General features: G+C 50.8%; 1 long non-coding RNA gene and 2 pseudogenes across 7 annotated transcripts, besides 5 other annotated features; 2 read left to right on the forward strand and 1 right to left on the reverse strand.

Annotated features, from left to right (window-relative positions):
* Positions 130–645: an enhancer, noted in NCBI's record as "H3K4me1 hESC enhancer chr11:118558272-118558787 (GRCh37/hg19 assembly coordinates)". NCBI's record gives its function as "activates a minimal SCP1, AML or CMV promoter by ChIP-STARR-seq in naive H9 embryonic stem cells {active_cell/tissue: H9 hESC(naive)}" and the evidence as "EXISTENCE:reporter gene assay evidence [ECO:0000049][PMID:30033119]".
* On the reverse strand, positions 343–3167 carry TREHP1 (trehalase pseudogene 1; annotated as a pseudogene).
* Positions 646–1160: an enhancer, noted in NCBI's record as "H3K4me1 hESC enhancer chr11:118558788-118559302 (GRCh37/hg19 assembly coordinates)". NCBI's record gives its function as "activates a minimal SCP1, AML or CMV promoter by ChIP-STARR-seq in naive H9 embryonic stem cells {active_cell/tissue: H9 hESC(naive)}" and the evidence as "EXISTENCE:reporter gene assay evidence [ECO:0000049][PMID:30033119]".
* Positions 2116–21871, forward strand: LOC105369519 (uncharacterized). Of its 7 annotated transcripts, none has more exons than XR_007062909.1 (4): positions 2116–2202; positions 5519–5682; positions 17175–17405; positions 20949–21410. It is a non-coding gene; the product is annotated as an uncharacterized LOC105369519 (long non-coding RNA). The 7 variants fall into 7 exon arrangements; XR_007062910.1 differs by lacking the exon at positions 2116–2202 and adding an exon at positions 2917–2957; XR_948069.3 differs by lacking the exon at positions 2116–2202 and adding an exon at positions 4700–4788.
* Positions 2645–2764: an enhancer, noted in NCBI's record as "active region_5596". NCBI's record gives its function as "activates an Ori minimal core promoter by ATAC-STARR-seq in GM12878 lymphoblastoid cells {active_cell/tissue: GM12878}" and the evidence as "EXISTENCE:reporter gene assay evidence [ECO:0000049][PMID:35858748]".
* Positions 4816–5075: an enhancer, noted in NCBI's record as "active region_5597". NCBI's record gives its function as "activates an Ori minimal core promoter by ATAC-STARR-seq in GM12878 lymphoblastoid cells {active_cell/tissue: GM12878}" and the evidence as "EXISTENCE:reporter gene assay evidence [ECO:0000049][PMID:35858748]".
* On the forward strand, positions 14909–15014 carry RNU6-376P (RNA, U6 small nuclear 376, pseudogene; annotated as a pseudogene).
* Positions 17281–17782: an enhancer, noted in NCBI's record as "H3K4me1 hESC enhancer chr11:118575423-118575924 (GRCh37/hg19 assembly coordinates)". NCBI's record gives its function as "activates a minimal SCP1, AML or CMV promoter by ChIP-STARR-seq in naive H9 embryonic stem cells {active_cell/tissue: H9 hESC(naive)}" and the evidence as "EXISTENCE:reporter gene assay evidence [ECO:0000049][PMID:30033119]".
* Positions 21872–21883: the final 12 nt, after the last annotated feature.

Genomic DNA, 21883 nt, shown 5'->3' on the forward strand with positions numbered 1-21883 from the left:
TGGGGATGGCTACAGCCACTCTGGGGTGACAGTGGTCTTGGCAGGGCTCCCTTCCTCTCTTTCCCTGAGCACATCCAGCAGTTAAACTCCACTAATTGCCAGCTGATTTTACAATTGTTTTAATGATGCCCTGGGGGATAAATAGATCAGAGACAATCCATTCAAATTCAGACTCCTTTGAAGGAATAATATCAGGGGCAGAAATAAATTATACATATTTCTTCGGGCCCCACCTCCCCTGCTCTCCTTCCCAGCATTGAGCCCTTGGTTGCCTGGGCCCAGGCTGGGGTTTTCAGTATTTGTAAAGCCTTCAGACTAAGGAAGTGAGTGGAAGGCTGGAGGTGTGGGGCTTGGCGCTGGGGCACTTGGGGTAGGAGGGATAGGTCTTCCCCCCAGAGCAGGATTTCCACCCTATTGAAGGTTCCAGGAGGGAGCTAGGCCCCTACCCATGCCCTCCAGGTCATGACCCTGCCCCCCACCTCACTCTGATCAGAGGACAGGCTGGGAGGTAGGAGGGCATGAAGAGGCAGGGGAAGACAGGAACTGGTGCAGAGGTTTAATGGGACAGGAGCTGGGGCCAGGTGAGGAGGGGAGGGCTGTCACTGTGGCAGAAGGCTGAGCAGGAGGCTGGGAAAAAGGGTGGCCGCCAGACAGTGGGGCTCCAAGAAAGCCAGCTGGGCCCCTAAGGTCAGCCGGTCACCACAGCAGTCCAGTAGCATCAGGACCACGCCATTCATCCAGCCAAAGCCCTCCTGGGAGAGGCAGGGCAGTGGGGCCAGGTTTCTGGGGAAGCCCCAAACCCTTGGTGGTGTGTCCGGAATTGGTGGGTTCTTGGTCTCACTGACTTCAAGAATGAAGCCACGGACCCTCACGGTGAGTGTTACAGTTCTTAAAGCAGCACGTCTGGAGTTGTTCGTTCCTCCCGGTGGGCTCGTGGTTTCGCTGGCTTCAGGAGTGAAGCTGCAGATCTTCGTGGTGAGTGTTACAGCTCATAAAAGCAGTGTGGACACAAAAAGTGAGCAGTAGCAAGATTTATTGCAAAGAGCAAAAGAACAAAGCTTCCACAGTGTGGAAGAGGACGTCAGCAGATTGCCGCTGGTGGTTCGGGCAGCCTGCTTTTATTCTCTTATCTGGCCCCACCCACATCCTGCTGATTGGTAGAGCCCAGTGGTCTGTTTTGACAGGGCGCTGATTGGTGCATTTATAATCCCTGCGCTAGATACAAAGGTTCTCCACTTCCCCATCAGATTAGTTAGATACAGAGTATGGACAGGAAGGTTCTCAAAGGCCCCACCAGAGCAGCTAGATACAGAGTGTCGATTGGTGCACTCACAAACCCTGAGCTAAACACAGGGTGCTGATTGGTGTGTTTACAAACCTTGAGCTAGATACAGAGTGCCGATTGGTGTATTTACAATCCCTGAGCTAGACATAAAGGTTCCCCACGTCTCCACCAGACCCAGGAGTCCAGCTGGCTTCACCCAGTGGATTCCGCACCCCGGCTGCAGGTAGAGTTGCCTGCCAGTCCCGTGCCGTGCGCTCGCACTCCTCAGCCCTTGGGTGGTCGATGGGACTGGGCACCGTGGAGCGGGGGCAGTGCTCCTTGGGGAGGCTCGGGCTGCACAGGAGCCCAGGGAGGCGGGGGAAGGCTCAGGCATGGCGGGCTGCAGTCCCGAGGCCTGCCCTGGGGGAAGGCAGCTAAGACCCGGTGACAAATCGAGCGTAGCGCCAGTGGGCCTGCACTGCTGGGGGACCCAGTACACCCTCCGCAGCCGCTGGCCCGGGTGCTAAGTCCTTCATTGCCCGGGGCCAGCAGGGCCGGTCGGCTGCTCCTAGTGCGGGCCCGCCAAGCCCACGCCAACCCGGAACTCCACCTGGCCCGCAAGCGCCGCGCGCAGCCCCGGTTCCCGCTCTCGCCTCTCCCTCCACATCTCTCTGCAAGCTGAAGGAGTGGGCTCCTGCCTTGGCCAGCCCAGAAAGGGGCTCGCACAGTGCAGCGGTGGGCTGAAGGGCTCCTCAAGTGCCGCCAAAGTGGGAGTCCAGGCAGAGGAGGCGCCAAAAGCGAGCAAGGGCTGTGAGGACTGCCAGCACGCTGTCACCTCTCAGTGGGGGCTGTGGGCTCTCTTCCCAGGGGCACTGGCCCTGCCTAACCCTAGCGGTACAGGGAGCACCAGTCAGCTCCTCCTCCAGGCCCACATGCAGGTGAGCACACTGAGGCCTGGGGCGGGGATCGTGGGCAGCAGAGCCCAGGAGTTTCCTGTAGGGTGATGGCCAGCCCACCCCTGGCCTGCTCACCTGAACTTCATACTCCCCTCCGCCACCGGGCTCTCCACCGTTGCTAATGTCATACTGGGAATAAGAGGGCGGGCCGTAGGTCAGGCACTGCCCCCACCCCACCCACCCCCAGCCACAGGGACAACAAACAACGGGATCCTTGTCGGGAGAAGCCGCTCTGCCTCCCAGCAGCCCCTGCAGTGCCCAGGAGTGCCCACTGGGCGCCGCCACCATCCCAGCTGCGCTTGCCCTGAGCCCTGCCAAGCCTGACCCTCCCGCCTCACCACGGGGACGCCCTGGGGGTACGGGGAGGGCTCAGGCCAGCTCATCTTCTCATACATGGCTGACTTGCTGGTAGACATCAAAGTTGGTTCGGATCCAATTCTGGGGCATATTGGTAGATCAGGATCTGGCTGCCCTAGAAGGTTCCAGACATTCCCGTGACTGTGGGTGGGGCTGGACTGGGAGCCAGGACGCTGGGCCCGGCGGGAAGCCAGATGTCCCTTTCCTGGCCCTTCTCTTCTCGGCTCACAGCTGCCCCCCGGTGGCTCCGCGGGACCTGCCGGCTGGGACAAGGGGCACAGCCGGAGGAAGCGGCCTCCCCTGCAGGTCCTGCTCAGGGTCGGGAGGGGGCAGTGCTGCCTGCAGTGGGCCAGAGCCACCTTCTGTGCCCTCACCTCCAGGTATTTCAGAGCCTTGTCCGCCACGCCAGGGTCAGAGAAACACCCGTTCCAGAGTGGAGTGAGGTTGGATGGGTAAAACTCCCGGTTCTCCTTGTTCTCAAGGTCGTAGTCGAACCAGGCACTGGTCTGCTCATCCCACAGGACTGTGTTCAGGGCGGCCAAGCGCTGCGCCGGCAGGATTCTGTACTTTGTGGCCTGGGAGTCGTTCCCTGGGGCAGTGCTGCCTTTGGGCCCTACAGGAGCCCTCTAGAAAGAACTTCTGAGGTCAGACGGGCAGCATCTACTCTAACGCCTCACCTCCTCCAGGAAGTCTCCCCACCCTCCCCAGGAAACCCCAGCCTGTCCTGTCTCCTCTGGGCTGCCTGCACTGTCTCTGGCACCACTGGGTAGATGTTCACTGCCTGCTGGGCTCTCCTTCCCTGAGCTCCTGGGCCAGGCCTCCGTCTCAGGAGGAATCAGGGCTACTGCTTGCTCAGCCCCGTCCTGAGCTACTTTGCTCATCCACATCCCCTCATCTGGGGAAAGGGTTTGGGGTTTTATCCCGTCCCTAGTCCTACCACTGGAGCCCAAGCCCAGACCCTCTTGCTTGGAGCCCCGCTTTCCCTGGACCTGTTCCCACTCTGCCCCAGTCACACAGGCCTTCTTCCCAATCCCTGAACAGTGCCTCAGGGCCTCTGCACGGCCCTTTCCGTGCCTGGACTGTCCTCTCCCAGATCAGCTCAGCAATGGTTCCTGCCACAATTCTGCTCACACATCACCTCCTCAGAGACACCTTCCCTCCCCATCCTCTCTAACACACCCTCCGCTCACCCACACCAGCGGGCCCTAACTTCTCTCTACTTCAAACCGTGCTTCTGTTACTGTTTTGCTTCTATTATTATTATTATTATTGGAGACAGAGTTTCTCTCTTGTTGCCCAGACTGGAGTGCAATGGCGCGATCTTGGCTCACTGCAACCTCCACATCCCAAGTTCAAGCGACTCTCCTGCCTCAGCCTCCCGAGTAGCTGGGATTACAGGCGTGCGCCACCATGCCCGGCTAATTTTGTATTTTTCATAGAGATGGGGTTTCACCATGTTGGCCAGGCTGGTCTCGAACTCCTGACCTCAGATGATAGCTCCCACCTTGGCCTCCCAAAGTGCTGGGATTACAGGCATGAGCCACCGTGCCCAGCTGTTTTTCTTCTATTATTATTGTTCTTGCAGGAGCTGGTAAAGTGGCTGATGTGGCCACAGCTCCATAAATCCATGTGGAACGAAGGGTGGACATCGCCTGAGTCCAGGAGACAGGACAGGGTCACTCATCTCTGTCCCTGGTGATGGAAACTCAGGCTCAGGAAAGAGCCTTGACCTGCCCTGGGTCACAGAGAGAATATTAGGGTCAGGGCTTGAGCCCGGGTGCTGTGGTCAGGCCCTTAGGCCGCCTCTCACACCCAGACTAGGAAGCTGGAGCAGAAAGTTTGCTAGAACAATCCTGAGAAGAGGCCTGCACAGTTCAAGGGGCAGCTTGGAGGAGGAGAGGGAGGGAGGACCGGCTCTGGCCAGTGGGCTCTTGGACCTCAGGCCAGGCTCTGGCAGCTGCATCTGGTATCAGGCCTGCAGGTCCAGTGCCTATTATGGGGCCTATTATGACTGCACAAGGGGCCTCAAGTTCATTCAGGCCAAGCCTCTCATTCTGCAGAGAACCACACAGTGGTTGCCGGGATTTGCCCAAGGCTGGTGGGTTGGTCATGAGGGCAGGCCCGAACTCATCTCTATTTTCTTGCATTCCGGCTCTCCTGATGTTCCAGGCCCATCTCTGAGTCATCCTTGGACAGGAGAGATCCCAGAGGGTAAACAGGACATGAGCCTGCAGTGAGGGGAGACAGAGGAGGAGAGAACTCCCTGAAACAAGAGGAGAGGAGGAGCTGGTGGGGAGGACACAGGTAGGGCAGCGGGCAGACCACCAAGGGGCAGGCTTGCTGTTTCGCAGCCTGACCCCCAGCCTGTGTGCCTCATTGCCGCCTCCTCCTCCCAGAGCAGGGCCTACGCCTCAACCAGAGCTTGGAGCAAGACAAGGAAGGCTCCATTTCTCTCCTCCTACTCCTCTACTCAAACCACAGCCATCTGTACATCAGAAACTTTTTTTTTTTTTTTTTTAGCCCTCAGCTGCCTGATGCCCATGGTTGGGGTTTGGGCTGAGTCACCGAGGGCTGCCTGCACACACCAGGGAGGGCTCCTGAGCACCCACTCTCAGGCTTTGCACGTTTCCGAAATTCTGCACACGACAGCAATTTTTGCAGCAAGGGTGTGGAGGGTGCCTGTGGGCCAGTCACCAGCCTGCTGCAGCTGTCCGTGGTTGCCTCTGTCTGCCAGGGCTGCACGACCTCTGGTTTTCACCTCAACCACTGCGGCTTCCTCTCTCCCCGTGGGAACAGGGCATGGGGTGAGGGAGCTACCATGCCCAGACAACTAGGCATCTCCCTGCCAGGCCAGGAGTTCCACTGCCACAGCCCAATACCAGCAAATTCAGATGCAACCAAGTGACCCCAACTCAAGTTACATTCCCTTTCTCCCCCACAGGCTCTGCAGTCCCAGGGATTCGCAGTGTTAGTTGATCTCCGGGGACACTAGTTCCCAAGAGACCCCACTGAAGGCCTGGCTGTACCATCATAGGCTGTGTGCCCTTGGGCAAGAACCTCTACCATTCCTCGTTGCCTGTATATAAATTGAAGGCTTTGCTCTAGGTCAGTGTTGCAAACTCAAATTCCAGTAATAGGAATGTGCAAAATATGTTGGGGATAAGGGAGCCAACAGTGCAAGGGGGAAGTGAGTGTTGGGGACCTAGTCTTGGGGTGACGGGAACTGGGCTGAACCGGAAGCGTATTCCTGTGTAAGGGAGGCCACTGCTCAGAGGGTGGCTGCTATGGGGCTGGGGGATCCTGATTTGTCAAAGGAAGGTGGAAATTTATATTTCAGCTCACACGCTCCTGTTTTTAAAATGTCTCAATGTCTCTAATTCTGACTGTAAATCTAAGAGTGATTCCTGTGTGGGTACGGTTAGGAGGAGTCTGACCTCCACCAAAGGGGCTTTGTGGGCTGGGACTTCGTACTCCTGCAGAGCGCAGGACCGCACCCCTGAATGCAACCTCAGCCTGGAATGTTGACACAATCATTTGGTGTCCCTTTAAATTGGTATCCTATGTACATATTGGTATCTGTAATATGTAGAGATCTCTTACAAGTCTAAAAGGAAGATAGGGCTGGGCACAGTGGCTCATGCCTGTAATCCCAGCACTTTGGGAGGCCGAGGCAGGCGGATCACCTGAAGTCAGAAGTTTGAGACCAGCCTGACCAATATGGTGAAGCCCTAGCCCATAAGGACGCAGCTCTGGGCTGCCCTCGGGGTTGCGTGTACCTGAGTCCCCACCCACATCTCACCACTTAGCTTGTCTGCCCAGTCTTTCTTAACACATTTACAAGCAGATACATCATTGGTGGGAAAACAGAACACTTTAAAATATGGGTTCAGCTTTGATTTCAAGGAGAAGCTGCAAGCTGTGTGAAGGGCTGGGAAGGGCACCACAGGAGACGCAGCTCAGCCTCTTCTTCGTCCTCAGCAACTCAGCTCTGACCCCAAGTTTCACCCCATGCAGCAAGGGCTCTGAGCCCTCCTGGGCCCACCATCCTTAGAAAGCAGCTTAGGGGAGGGAAGTCTTATTGTCCCCACTGCAAATTATTTCTTTGAGGAAAAGCTACTAGTTTCCTTCTCAATGCCTGTTCTCAGGGTATCAGCGTGACCAGCTTTGTTTAAGTTGATTTTCCAGGCTCCCCTACAGTTCAGGGTGGCCAGGGACCCAGTTCTGGCAAATGAGACATAAGTGGACGTCACTGCAAAAGGATCTGAGGCAGGCTCCTAAAAGGGGAGAGACTCAACCGGCTCTGCGTTGAGTCCTTTGCCCTCCCTCTTCCTGCCTTGATGCAGATGAAAGGCTTGGCACTGCAGCAGCCACCTTGTATCCACGAGGCAGTAAACCTCAGCCGACAGCCACCTGCTTCAGATGGCAGCCCAGGAAGGTGAAAAGAGACTGGGTTCTCGATGGCAACTTCGAGTCACGACAGCCTTAGACTTCTGTGATATGAAAAAACAACCCTCATAGTTGTTTAAGCCTCTGGTTTTCAGATTTCTGTCACAGCTGAAGGGAATCTCAAGCAGATCCTTCCTCTGAGCATCTGCTCTCTTCTCAAGGGGCCTTCCGGTCACATGCTTTCCTTCATTCCCATTACATTTCCGTCCAGGTTCTAATGTCCTAGGGATATTGTAGCACGCCTCTGCCTGGCCTAACTTCAACCTCCCTCTGGATGTGAGAGGCAGACCTCACTGTAGGAAGAGGGTGAAGGAAGGGTGTCGAATAATGCATAAGGAACCAAGGACTAATATCCATATATACAGACCCAAACATCAGGTGACACTGAGCGTGTGCATCCACAGCTTCTCACACCTGCCTTGTCTGGTAGACACCAGCTCTGGATCCCCAGACCTCTCACCTGAGCTCTAGGGCAAACGCTTCCCGACATCCCCCGTGGCGGGCAGCGAGGCCGGGATGGTGTGGAGCTGCGCACTTCCAGCTTCTGGGATGCAAGGCCCTGTCACCACTCGATTTCCAGGTGTCTGCTTCACAGTGATCTGTTAAACTGCCATATGTGTTTTATGCACCTTCCTGGGTTGTGCTACAGCTGATAATAAAATCATTTGAGAATTTTGTGTTGTTGTTGTTTGAGACAGAGTCTCGCCCTGTCTCCCAGGCTGGAGTACAGTGGCGTGATCTGGGCTCACTGCAACCTCCACCTCCCGGGTTCAAGCGATTCTCCTGCCTCAGCCTCCCGAGTAGCTGGGACTATAGGCATGCGCCATGACACCCGGCTAATTTCTGTATTTTTAGTAGAGATGGCGTTTCACCATGTTGGCCAGGCTGGTCTTGAACTCCTGACCACAGGTGATCCACCCACCTTGGCCTCCCAAAGTGCTGGGATTACAGGTGTGAGCCACCGCGCCCGGACATTTTTGAGAATTTTTAAAAAGAGTCTATCAGAACCGAGCTCGGTGGCTTATATCTGTACTCCCAGCACTTTAGGAGGCCTACCTAGGTGGGTGGATCATCTGAGGTCAGGAGTTTGAAACCATCTTGGCCAACATGGTGAAACCCCGTCTCTACTAAAAATACAAAAATTAGCCGGCTGTGGTGGCGGGTGCCTGTAGTCCCAGCTACTGGGGAGGTTGAGGCAACAGAGCGAGACTCTGTCTTAAAAAAAAAAAAAAAGTTCACCACCATGCTTGGTTTGGCCCCATTTGGACGGGAGGGGAGAGCAGTGAAGCAGCCGGCACGTGAGGTGGCCTCCCGGGGCAGCAGAGCTGGCAGGGCAGGGCGGGCCAGGCCGGAGGGCTCTGACTGATCCTTGGAGCTCTAATAGGAAGCTGCACACCCATTCACTCTCTTAGAATAGCTGTGCACCTGCAGATAACCAGTTTCTGTTGTGGTGAGTGGTAGTTAAATAAATAAATAAGCAGGCAAAGAACAGGCTTGTCCTTACTGTGACAGTCATTTGCTGCTGTGAAACTACTATGGTCTAACACCTCCCACTCACTTTCCTCAATCAGTGCTGCCTGCAATGGCAGGAACTCGGGGCCAAAAGAGCACCTGCCCTAGCTCAGAGCTCGGGCCTGCCCACCCCACCACCCCACCCCCTGGGACCACCTGACTTTGACCTCTGAGACCACATTTGGCTTGCATGCAGGCAAGTTATATGACTTCTCTGAGCCTCAGTTTCTTCTTTGGCAAAGTGGGGATAGTAACAGCTCTCTTCAAAAGCCATTGTAAGAGTTGGAAATGATAAGCCGGGCGCGGTGGCTCATACCTGTAATCCCAGCAGTTTGGGAGGCCAAGGCGTGTGGATCACCTGACCTCAGGAGTTTCAAGACCAACCTGACCAACATGGTGAAACCCCGTCTCTACTAAAAATACAAAACTAGCCAGCACGGTGGCTTATGCCTGTAATCCCAGCATTTTGGGAGGCTGAGGTGGGTGGATCACCTGACCTCAGGAGTTCTGAGACCAGCCTGACCAACATGGTGAAACCCCGTCTCTACTAAAAATACAAAATTAGCAGGGCATGGTGGCACATGCCTGTAATCCCAGCTATTTGGGAGGCTGAGGCAGGAGAATTGCTTGAACCTGGGAGGTGGAGGTTGTAGTGAGCTGAGATCACGCCATTGCACTCTAGCCTGGGGAATAAGAGTGAAACTCCATCTCAAAAAAAAGAAAAAAGGTCGGAAATGATGTATTTTAGCCGCGCAGATAGTCAGCCATACGCCTGTTTCACTTATGGGTAGAAACACTGCAGTTGACTTCATTTCAGCAGCTGAGGGGCCCAGAGGACTGTGTCCTCTGCCTCACTGTGCAGGCCTCAGTCATGTTCCTGGCAAATATTCCAGAAGGCTCAGAGGAGGCGTGTTGAGAGTGTTGTCAGCCAATCACCACAAAGCTGCTCCTTCAGGAGCCTTCTCACTCTGAACCTCACATAACACAAGCCTGTGGCTGGAGGGAGGGTGGCAGGGGCCTACCTGGGCATTACTTCCACGCTTGCAGCCTCAGGGTAACCCTGGTGGTCAGATAAGCAAAGATCAGCCTCAAAGCAGCAAATAGGACCATGTCCTCTGGGGCCTTACCATGGTCCGCATGCAGTCCAGGCTTGGCTTCACCATTTGCATGAGAGCTCAGAGGACACCCATGGCCACAGAGGCTTAGCTCAGCCAGGGGAATGGAGACAGTCAGTAACATGGAGGTGAGATCATAGCAAACACCTTCATCTCCGGTTCAAGGGGGAAGGGGTCACCTGCTGGGGAAGGAGGAGGCTCTGGCAGGTGACGCTGAGCTGGAACGTCGACCACCTTCCTCACGGCCTTGGCAGTGAATTCCAGATGCCCAGACCTCTGCAAACAACTTCCAGCAAATGCAGCGAGGACAGCAGGGCACCTACTGTTGACTCAAAAAGACACTTCCAGGTTTCCCCAGAAAAGGCAGCCTTTGCTGCTGCAGCCCCTGCGGATGACGGCTTGTTTAATAGCTCAGATTCCCCAGGCAGTTTCTCCACCCTCCGCTGCTGGGATTCTTGCAATGGCGATGTGGTGGGTCGGCCTGGAGAGGGTGGGTCAGGAAGGATCTTCTGACTTGGAGACTTCCAGGGGAGACAACACCACACACAAGGCCCTGCTCCAGACTTGGCAAGGATGATGCCAAATACGCGGAGGCAGCTGCAGGAGGAGCTTGTTCCCAGGATAAAGAGGTGGTCAGCTGGCCAGGTACAGTGGCTCATGCCTGTAATCCCAGCACTTTAGGAGGCTGAGGTGGGCGGATCACCTGAGGTTGGGAGTTCGAGACCAGCCTGCCTAACATGGAGAAACCCTGTCTCTACTAAAAATACAAACAATTAGCTGGGCGTGGTGGCAGGCGCCTGTAATCCCAGCTACTCAGGAGGCTGAGGCAGGAGAATCACTTGAACCCGGGAGGTGGAGGTTGCAGTGACCCGATACGGTGCCATTGCACTTCAGCCTGGGCAACAAGAGCGAAACTCCGTCTCAAAAAAAAAAAAAAGAAAGAAAAACAAGCTGGGTGCAATGGCTCACGTCTGTAATCCCAGCACTTTGGGAGGCCAAGGCAGGTGGATCACCTGAGGTCGGAAGTTCGAGACCAGCCTGACCAACATGGAGAAACCCTGTCTCTACTAAAAATACAAAATTAGCCAGGCGTAATGGCGCATGCCTGTAATCACAGCTACTTGGGAGGCTGAGGCAGGAGAATTGCTTGAACGCAGGAGGCGGAGGTTGCGGTGAGCAGAGGTCATGCCATTGCGCTCCAGCCTGGGCAACAACAGTGAAACTCCACCTCAAAAAGAAAAAGAAAAGAAAAGTCTACAGTATAATGGTAAGAAATGTAAGCGTGTCAGATTCTGTTTTTAGAACGGAAGCATAACAGATCCACCGAAAGCATCCTGTGTTTGGTGTTCCCTTTCCTACCTGGGTTCCTCGCCCACCCAGGCATGACTGCGCTCCTGAATGTATGGTGTATCAGTCCCCTGCATGCTTTTATACCTCTGCTGTTCATGCGTGGATCTGCTAGGGTTGCTTGGCATGTTTTTTTGTTGTGGTAAAATATACATGGCATAAAATTTTCTATCTTAACCACTTTTAAGTGTACATTTCAGGGACATTAAGAACATTCACTTTTTTTTTTTTTTTTTTTGGAAACAGAGTCTTGCTCTGTCAACCAGGCTGAAGTCCAGTGACGCAATCTTGACTCATTGCAACCTCGGCCTCCCAGGTTCAAGTGATTCTCCTGCCTCAGCCTTCTGAGTAGCTGGGATTACAGGTGCCTGCTACCACGCCCACCTAATTTTTGTATTTTTAGTAGAGATGGGGTTTCACCATGTTGGCCAGGCTGGTCTCGAACTCCTGACCTCAGGTGATCTGTCCACCTTGGCCTCCAAAAGTGTTGGGATTACAGGCGTGAGCCACCGCACCTAGCCCTTTTTGTTTCTCTTCACTTTTGTCCTACTCCTGTCAAATTTTTCTTTTTTTTTTTTTGAGACAGAGTCTCGCTTTGTCGCCCAGGCTGGAGTGCAGTGGCGCAATCTTGGCTCACTGCAACCTCTACCTCCTGGGTTCAAGCAGTTCTCCTGCCTCAGCCTCCCCAGTAGCTGGGATTACAGGTGCCTGCCACCATACCCGGCTAATTTTTGTATTTTTAGTAGAAACAGGGTTTTGCTATGTTGGCCAGGCTGGTCTCGAGCTCCTGATCTCAGGTAGTCTGCCCCCCTCAGCCTCCAAAAGTGCTAGGATTACCAGTGTGAGCCACCGCACCCGGCCTCAAATTTATTGATTCTCTTACTGCTCGAACCCAGGAGGTGGAGGTTGCAGTGAGCCAAGATTGTGCCACTGCACTCCAGCCTGGGTGACAGAGCGAGACTCAGTCTCAAGAAAAAAAAATGTATTGAGTCTCTTTTATTACTTTTTCTAGTTTTATTTCTTTATTTGTTTATTGTTCATACATTTGTTTGTTTGTTTGTTTGGGCTTGGAAGTGATGGATTTCATTCCTAGTCTCTCATGCTTCCCTCCATCCACATTTTTCACATGCGCACTGAATTACAGAATCTAAAGCTAATCAGAAATTGTCCCCTGCAGGAGGAAAGGCACTCTTTAGCTCTGATCACACCTTCTGTCTTACAGACTGTCACTCGGCATCACAGGCTGACTTTGTTTTCATGCCTCCAACCAATCATCGTCATTGCTGCTGTGGTTCCCACCATCAGTGCTTCTGTGGACTTACCCACATGTTTACCAGTTTCTTTGCTCTTCATTGCTTTCATTGCCCTCTCACTCCTTTTGAGGTCAATTTCCTTTCTCTTAACAAAAATGTATTAGCAGCTCTCTTGCTGATGGTACTTTAGGATAAACTCTTTCAAAAGTCTTCCTCTGAAAAGACCTTGTTTTAATTTTTAAATTTTGTTTTGTTTTAGAAAATTTTCATGTGGAGCCTCCCATTGATGAAAAAATCTCCATTTCACTTTTACTCGTTGTGGTGCATTATCAACAAAGATGGCCACCAACAGTTTTGTTCATCCCTGTAATGTCACTCCTCCCATCAAGAAGTGGAATGTGGCCGGGCGCAGTGGCTCACACCTGTAATCACACCACTTTGGGAGGCCAAAGTCGGCAGATCACATGAGGTCAGGAATTTGAGAGCAGCCTAGTCAACATGGTGAAACCCCATCTCTACTGCAAATGCAAAAATTAGCTGGGCTACTCAGAAGGCTGAGGCAGGAGAATTGCTTGAACTCGGGAGGCGGAGGTTGCAGTGAGCTAAGATTGCACCACTGCACTCCAGTCTAGCTGACAGAGCTAGTCTCCTCTCAGAAAAAAAAAAAAAAAAAGAAGTGAAATTTATTTCCTTTCGCCCCTCCCCTTAAATCTGGGCCAGCCTTGTGACTCACTTTGACTAGTAGAAGGTGGAAGTGATATTATGCCAGGTCCAGACTTAGGCCTTAGGAGGCCTGGCAGTTTCCATTTTCACCCTCTTGGGATCCAGCCACTATGAAACCAAGTTCACCTGCTTTATTGGAGAGAGAAATGACCTAGAAGATGAAAGACAGCAAAGGGAGAGCAGGATGCCCAGCCAGCCACCAGCCATTCTGACCCCTTCAGCTGAGGCACTGCATGGGTGAGTGAAGCTGTGGGATCTCACAGTCCCAGTTGAGCCACCTCAGCCAAAACATCACATAAGAACACAGATGAGCCGTCCCAACTGAGCCCTGCCAAACTACAGAATTGTGAGCAAATAAATGGTGGTGGGTTTTTATTTATTTATTTATTTATTTATTTATTTATTTATTTGAGACATGGTCTTGCTTTGTTGCCCAGACTGGAGTGCAATGGTGTGACCACAGCTCGCTGTAGCCTTGACCTCCCAGGCTCAAGTGATCCTCCTGCCTCAGCCTCCTGAGTAGCTGGGACTACAGTCATGTGCCACCACATCTAGCTAATTTTATACATTTTTTTATAGAGATGGGGTTACACTGTATTGGCCAGGCTGGTCTTGAACTCCTGGGCTCAAGGAATCTTCCTGCCTCAGCCTCCCAAAGTGCTGGGATTATAGACATGAGCCACTGTGCCTGGCTGGTGGTGGTTGTTTTAAGTCACTAAATTTTAAAGTTATTTGTTATGGAGCAATAGGTAACCAAAACACTCCTGAATGGAATTTTGACATGGGGAGGGGGGTGGAATTCTAGGATGAGTTATTCCTTGTCAGCACTTTGAATTTGTTTTTATTTATTTATTTATTTTTTTGAGACAGAGTCTTGCTCTGTCGCCCAGGCTGGAGTGCAGTGGCGCAATCTCAGCTCACTGCAAGCTCTGCCTCCTGGGTTCACGCCATTCTCCTGCCTCAGCCTCCCGAGTAGCTGGGACTACAGGCGCCCACCACCACGCCCAGCTAATTTTTTGTATTTTTAGTAGAGACGGGGTTTCACCATGTTAGCCAGGATGGTCTCGATCTCCTGACCTTGTGATCTGCCCGCCTCGGCCTCCAGAAGTGCTGGGATTACCGGTGTGAGCCACCACGCCCGGCAGCACTTTAAATTTAGAATTCCACTGATCTCTGTCTTCTTTTGCTTTGCAGGTAATCTTTCAGGTTTTTTATTTTTGTTTATTTATTTTTTGAGATGGAGTCTCACTCTGTTGCCCAGGCTGGAGTGCATTGGCACAATCTCTGCTCACTGCAACCTTCACCTCCCGGGGTCAAGCCATTCTCCTGCCTCAGCCTCCCAAGTAGCTGGGACTCTAGGCATGCGCCACCATGCCTGGATTATTTTTGTATTTTTAGTAGAGACAGGGTTTCACCATGTTGGCCAGGCTGGTCTTGAACTCCTGACCTCAAGTGATCCGCCCACCTCAGCCTCCCAAAGTGCTGGGATTACAGGCATGAGCCACCATGTCTGGCCCCTCAGGTTATTTTTTAAATCATCTCTTTGTCTTCAGTGTTATTCGGTTTCTCTAAAATGTATTTAACATAGTCTTATTTATTCTGCTCCAGAATTGTTGTGCTGCTATACCTCCGCCTTCTTTTCCTCTTTTCTTTCTTTTTTAATTTTTATTTTTGTAGAGGCAGTGTCTCACTTTGTTGCCCAGGGCGGTCTTGAACTCCTGGGCTCAAGAGCTCCTCCTGCCCAAAGTGTTGAGATTATAGGGATAAGCCACCACTCCTGGCCCCCTCCTTTTTTTCCTGGAAATTTTTTTGGTGCTTATGATGTGCAGTAATAAAAATACGATTTTAAGTGTTGGGGATTAAATAGTGAACAAAAAAGAGAAAGTCACTATCCTCATGATAGTGATATTTTATTTTATTTTATTTACATTCACAGTGCTTGGTTCACAGCACATATGCTAAAACTGGAACAATACAGAGAAGATTAGCACGGCCCCAGCACAAAGATGATGTGCAAATTCATGAAGTGTTCCATATTAAAAAAATAAAATAAAAATAGCAATACATTTACATTTTATTTTATAGCGACAGGGTCTCACTATGTTTCCCAGGCTGGTTTTGAACTCCTGACTTCAAGCGATCCTCCCGCATGAGCCACCATGCCTGGCCTAAGCTTACATTTTAGTTAGAGAAAGAGCCTGGGAATGAAGCTAGCATGGAGAAGAGCAGAGCTGAGATTTAAAGGGAGCAGATCCTGAAGCCTGGTTGAAAGCTGCATCGTTTCCCACCTGAATTCAACCACATTCATTTTCAGTAACACGAGCAGTAACTGCTTCTTGTTGTTTAAGCCAATTTAAATATATTTCTATGTCAATTACAAATGAAAGGGTATTAACTGTTAGGTGCCCAGCCTCAGCCTAATCTAGATGTTCTTTCTCTGCAACTTTGTATCTTCACTTAATTAGTTTACTTGAAAATTAATTAAATTAGGCCTGGTGCAGTGGCTCATGCTTGTAATCCCAGCACTTTGGGAGGCCGCGGCGGGCGGATCATGAGGTCAGGAGATCCAGACCATCCTGGCTAACATGGTGAAAACACGTCTCTACTAAAAATACAAAAAATTAGCCCGGTGTGGTGGCATGCGCCTGTAGTCCCAGCTACTGGAGAGGCTGAGGCAGGAGAAGCACTTGAGCCCAGGAGGCAGAGGTTGTGGTGAGCCGAGATCTCGCCACTGCACTCCAGCCTGGCGACAGAGCAATACTCCATCTCAAAAAATAAATAAATAAAATAAATAAATAAAAAAAAACACTGACACAGTGGGGATGAAGTTTCAATGTAAATTGCAGAGAGGACAACATTCAAACCATGGTACCTAGTCATAGTATTTTACTCTTTTCTTATGCTTTTAATTCCTGAAGTATCTAGACTTTCTAATCCTATTTTATAATACCTTTGTAGTCCTTATATAACATCTGTGTTTTGGTATTTGTTTCAGGTTTTTTCCTAAGTATGTGTCAAGATCCCATTTTCCAAGTCAAAAATGGGATTTTGCTACACATTATTTCATAACCTGCTCTTTGTTTTTCACATGATAAGGAACTTAAAACAACACACATCTTTTTCTGAGGGCAGAAATTTGGGCCCAGCTCACCTAGGTTCTCCGCTTCAGAGCTTTACCAGGCTGCTGTCCGGGTGCTGGCTGGGGCTATGGTCTCATCTGAGGCTCAGCTGGTCTCATCTAAGGCTTAATATTGGCCCCCAAGCTCCCTCAGACTGTTGGCAGAATTCTTCTCCTTATGGTTGTAAGACTAGAACTGGGGTTCATGTTTTCTTGTTGGCTGTCAGCCAGGGATGGCCCTTAGCAACTAGAGACTACAGTAGTTCCTTGTTGAGTGGCCCTGTCACCACAGAGAAGCTTACTTCTTCAAAGCCAGTAATAGACGGAGAGTCTCTGACCCTCTGAGAGGGCCCAGACACTCTTTCAAAGACTTCCACCTGATTTAGTCAGGCCCACCCATGAAAATGCCCCCTTGACTTCAAAATCAACTGACTTAGGACCCTAATTATGTCTGCAAAACCCCCTCACCTTTTTCACAGTCTATTAGCTGGAAGTAAGTTGCAGGTCCTACCGGCGCTCCAGGGGAGGAGGTTACACAGGGTGTGAACACCAGGGAGTGGGACCACAGGGCCCATCCCTGGGTCTATTCATACCATGTTTACCTTTCCATGTCAGTATCTTTTCTTTTCTTGGTTTTTTTTTTTTTTTTTTTTTTTCAGATGGAGTCTCACTTTGCTGGCCCAGGCTGGAGTGCCGTGGCCCCATCCTGGCTCACTGCAACCTCTGCCTCCCAGGTTCAAGTGATTCTCCTGCCTCAGCCTCCTGAGTAGCTGGGACTACAGGCATGTACCACCACACCTGGCTAATTTTTGTATTTTTAATAGAGATGGGGTTTCGCCACGTTGGCCAGGCTGGTCTTGAACTCCTGACCTGCAGGTGATACTGCCCGCCTAGGCCTCCCAAAGTGCTGGGATTTACAGGCACGAGCCACCGTGCACGGCTGTTATTATGTTTTCTACCACCTTCTAATGTTAATGGCCTCACAGCATTCTACTATGTGGATGTGTCAACATTTATTTAATTATTTATCACTAAGCACTGAATAAACATAAACATTTTAGTTTATTCCTTTTTTTCTTACAGACAGCGCTGGGGAGAATGAACGCCTGAGTACTCATGTCTTTATGCACTGTAGTATTATTTCCTTACAACAGACTCCTGAACCTGGAACGGCAGTGTCAAAGGGTTCACAAAATGTTAGACTTCTGAAGCAAATCAGATGGCACCTTTTTTGAATAATGAAGAATCTTTACCCCTGGCATGAGGAGCTGAGGACAACTCCCACTCCACGATGTGAAGCCACAGAGTTTCGAGGTAGTGGTTAATGGTGGTTGTGATTTTTTTGTTTTTGTTTTTGAGACAGAGTCTCTGTCACCCAGGCTGGGAGTGCAGTGGCACAATCTTGGCTCACCACAACCTCTGCCTCCCAGGTTCAAGCGATTCTCCTGCCTCAGCCTCCTGAGTAGCTGGGACAGGTGCCCGCCACCATGCCTGGCTAATTTTTGTATCTTTAGTAGAGACGAGGTTTCACCATGTTTGCCAGGCTGGTCTCGAACTCCTGACCTCAGGTGATCCACCCGCCTTGGCCTCCCAAAGTGCTGGAATTACAGGCGTTGAGCCACCACGCCCAGCTGGTTGTGATGTTCTAATTTGGACTTGGAAGTCAAATAATCGCCCCATGCCCTGTGGTTGCTGTGGTTGCATGCCCTGCCCCGGTGGAAGCTGGGGAAGTGTTTCCTGTCTGTCATCCCACCCATTCACGTGTCCTTATTATGGGTGAAGCCCAGAGAGCGAGAGCTCTCATTGTGGCCAAGGCTGCAGCCTTGCCACTGTCACGGAGCACAGCTCACGTCTCCTCTGAGCCGTTATTTTGTTTGTATGAACCCAGAATGTATGTAAATTCTGATGGGGTAAGCGGGCAGACAAAAAGGTCACTGAAGTGTCCCAAACAGAATCTCATTGTGTACTGGAGAGGAGGCAAAATAATCACTTGCCAGAGGGCGGAGCTTGGTTTTGTGGGACCTGAAGCTTAAATAATTTGGGGAGGCCTCTTTAAGAAAAAGAATCAAATTATGAATACAAAATTAGGATGAGGGTGTTTGAAGGGCCTCATGCAAGTGCGGTGCCTGGGACTTCAGCTTCATTAACTTCGCGTTCAGTCTACGCCTGCTTGCCAGTGGACTGGGTTTGTCCTGCTTGGAGTCTGGTTTTGTTTGTTTCCAAACTTATAAAATTAGATGTCTTTTCTTCTTTCCTTTTGCATTTGCAAGTGTATTAACATTTAAGAATTGAGCAGGCCTTCAATAATATAGCTTCTCTCTCTCTCTCTCTTTTTTTTTTTTTTTTTTTTTTTTTTTTGCTAAGATGACTCTAACCCCTCCCTGCTTCAAATCACGAACTTGCATTATAGGCACACAAAGGATGCTGACTCCCTCCAGCAGCCTCGTTTGCAGTACGGAGCCTGGGGCCCTTAATGGGATAACAGGGAAATGGGGAACTGGAAAGAATCTTCCAGCAGTTGAGTCTGTTTGCCCCAGGCACCATGTTAGATGATTACATTGTGTTCCTTCGCCCTTTTGCCAGGGTGACGGGCAGGCACTCCCAGGCTCTCCTCAAAACAGCTCCGATTTTAAGAGGGAAAAGCCAGGACACCACAAGTTGCAGTTCAAATATGAAACTGTTAGCAGAGTCATTTTGGCATAAAACCCACTGTATTAGTTGGTCTCCCACCAGGAAACAGATGGCATATTCAAAATAGGATCACTGGAGGAGAGTTTATTTGCAAAGATGTGGGTGTCGGGGAACCACAAAGGATGGCGCAGTAATCCAGAGTTTAGCAGCAGCCAGGCGGTGCCCTCACGAAGCTTGAAGGGATGAAGGGGAGAACAGTCCCTGGCACCCACAGGGAGAGAGCGGTGCTGCGAGGCCCCAGGAAGAGAAGATGTCATTGTCCCTTGAGGGATACAGCCAGCCAGGGAAATAAACACCCTGACCTCCCTCTCCTGTCTCCCTCTGGCCACCTGCCACGGGAGTTGGTGGATGTGGACCACACTGGTCAGCCTCAGAGGGCAGGGTGGAGATGGTGAGGGGGTGCATACGGAGGGGCAAACAAAAGGTAAATAGCCCAGCCCAGCCCTTTGGCCTCTCAGCACCCGCTCTAGACTTTTGTCCAGGTGAAGAGCTTGTTCGCCTAACACAGGGGATCTATAAGTCGTAATAGCTACCATATCATTGTGGACTGATGTCAGCTGGTCATACTCTCAGCTGAAATCGCCGGTGTTCCTCAGTTAAGGTAATGAGTAAAACGGGGTGCAACGGAGTGAATTTTTTTTTTAAGATGTTTCTTGCTTTGTCCCCTAGGCTGGAGTGCACTGGCATGATCTCTGCTCACTGCAACTGCTGCCTCCCAGTCTCAAGTGACTCCTGCCTCAGCCTCCCAAGTATCTGAGGTTGCAAGTGCACACCCGGCTAATGTTTGTATTTTTAGCAGAGACAATGTTTTGCCATGTTGGCCAGACTAGTCTTGAACTGCTGATCTCAAAGTGTTGGGATTACAGGCGTAAGCCATGGTGCCCAACCCAACAGAGTGAATGTTTACGTCTCCTCGCAATTCCTGTGTTGAAATGCTGACCCTCAAGGGGATGGTGTGAGATGGGGCCTTTGGGAGGTGATTAGGGTACGAGGATGCGGTCCTCATGAGTGGGATCAGGTTCTTATAAAAGAGGCCCTAGAGGAATCCTTTGTGCCTTCTGACATGTGAGGCCACATGAAGAAGATGCTGGTTATGAGCCATGAAGCAAGCCTTCACCAGACGCCAAATCCGCTGGCTCCTCGATCCCCTCGATCTGAGGCTTCTCAGCCTCCAGAACGGTGGGAAATAAATTTCTGTGATTTATGCTACACCCAGTCTATAGTATTCTGTTACAGTAACCCAGATGGATTAAGATGGAGAATGGATTGAGATGGGGAAGAAAAAAAGCCCCAAATTCATGAAATGTAGCTGCTACAGTCCCCACCTCCTTAGCTGTCCCCAAAACCTAAGCAGGTAATCATAACTTCCATTCTGTGCTCACCTTACCTCTGCTGGCACCTTTTTGGACAGGGTTCTCTACTTGGCGAGGTGACCCAAATCTTCATTCCTGCAGGGTCTGAGTCCTCGGCCGCTGCGATCGTTTGAACATTGTTTGTCCCCACCGAAACTCATCTTGAGGCTTGGTCCCCACTGTAATGATGTTGAGAGGTGGCGGGACATTTAAGGGGTGTTTGAGTCATGAGGGATCCAGCTTCACGAAGGGATTAGCGCAGGAGTGCGTGAGTTCTTCTTGTGGGACTCGATTGATTACTGCAGTTGCCAGTTGTTACAAAGCAAGGCTGCCTCTGGCCGCGTGCCCTCTTCTGCTTCCTATTTTCTCCCATGCTAGAAGCAGCACAAGGCCCTCACCAAATGTGGCCATCCATTTTGGACTTCTCAGCCTCCAGAAGCGTGGGCTAAGTAAGCCCCTTTCCTTTGTAATTTACCCAGTTGGACTAAGACAGGTGTTTTGTTATAGCAATGGAAAACAGACTAAGACAGTTGCATTGTATTTGGGGGTGGCCACAGTTTTCCATTGACTAGGACTGTTGGACTAGGAGTGCTCCAGTGATGTCTCTGATTTCAGACACTGTCTTCCTCGCCCCTTTTCAACAGCAGCAATCCAGTTTCATCCTGTGATCAGGGTCCATCCTCTACCTACTACCATAACCCCTCTCTTTGCTTCTTGGTCTATGGCATGCAGAGCCCCAAATGAGCAGGGAGTAGCTTCAACTTCCGATTCATCAGAAGCATGACTGTTTCCTCTAACAGCATTTCTTTTCTAGGCCCCAGGACCTCCAGCGTCAATGTTGTGGGATGATGGGTGACAGAGCCAAAGCATCGCCATCTTGGACAAGCACGGTCATTCTGAAGTTCCCCTTGATCAAAAACTGCCTAAACCCAAAGGATATCAGCCTGATGGCTAAGGTCAGCATGACCATAAACCATAAATAACATCTCTGACCAGGAACATTCCAAACCCCTCCATGAGACATGCCAGCCCTGAGATAACCTCCCCTCCGGCCAGAAAGATGTCAGACCCAAGATAACCTCCCCTCCGACCAGAGACATCCCAACCCTGCCATAAACTTCTCCCCCACACAGAAACATTCTGAGCTTGTAATAAGCCCCCTCATCCTAAAACCAATATATACTCTTAGTCCGTAAGAGAAAGTGCTCCTGAACAAAATTGGCCAGAAGCCCCTCTCCGGCTTATTTTCTCTAAAATACATCTGTCGTTAAATTGAGCCACAGTTCGTGTTTCTTCCCTCTTTCTTTAACTCTTACAATGGGAAGCAAACTTTTTTAGTGGGTTATTAGGAATAATAGTGAAAAGCATAATTCTCCTCTCCAGGCCTTGCTTCCTGGACCCACACATCTCACCTGTGGGGAAGATGGAACCATATATTGGCCACTGGTTTAATGTACAAGATGTGTCTCCAGTCCCAATGGTAGACATCCTATAGCCAAGACTCCATCCAATTGCCTGACCTCCACATGTCCCTACTCTGACTGGAACCTTGTGGGTAGTTTAGGTCTCTGAGGATCAGTCAAGCTCAGAGCAAGATTGAATAACCCCTGGAAGGTGTGGATATTCCTATTTCCCCAGGATCAGAGGCATATTTACCATAAAGCTAATGATGCTTATGCTTCAAGACTGCTCACTTACTAAAGCCCTGGTGTTAACATGATCATATGCATTTATAAAATTTGCAAACAT

The sequence above is a fragment of the Homo sapiens genome, chromosome 11 (assembly GCF_000001405.40).
Source record: "Homo sapiens chromosome 11, GRCh38.p14 Primary Assembly".
In the NCBI taxonomy this organism is placed as follows: domain Eukaryota; kingdom Metazoa; phylum Chordata; class Mammalia; order Primates; family Hominidae; genus Homo; species Homo sapiens.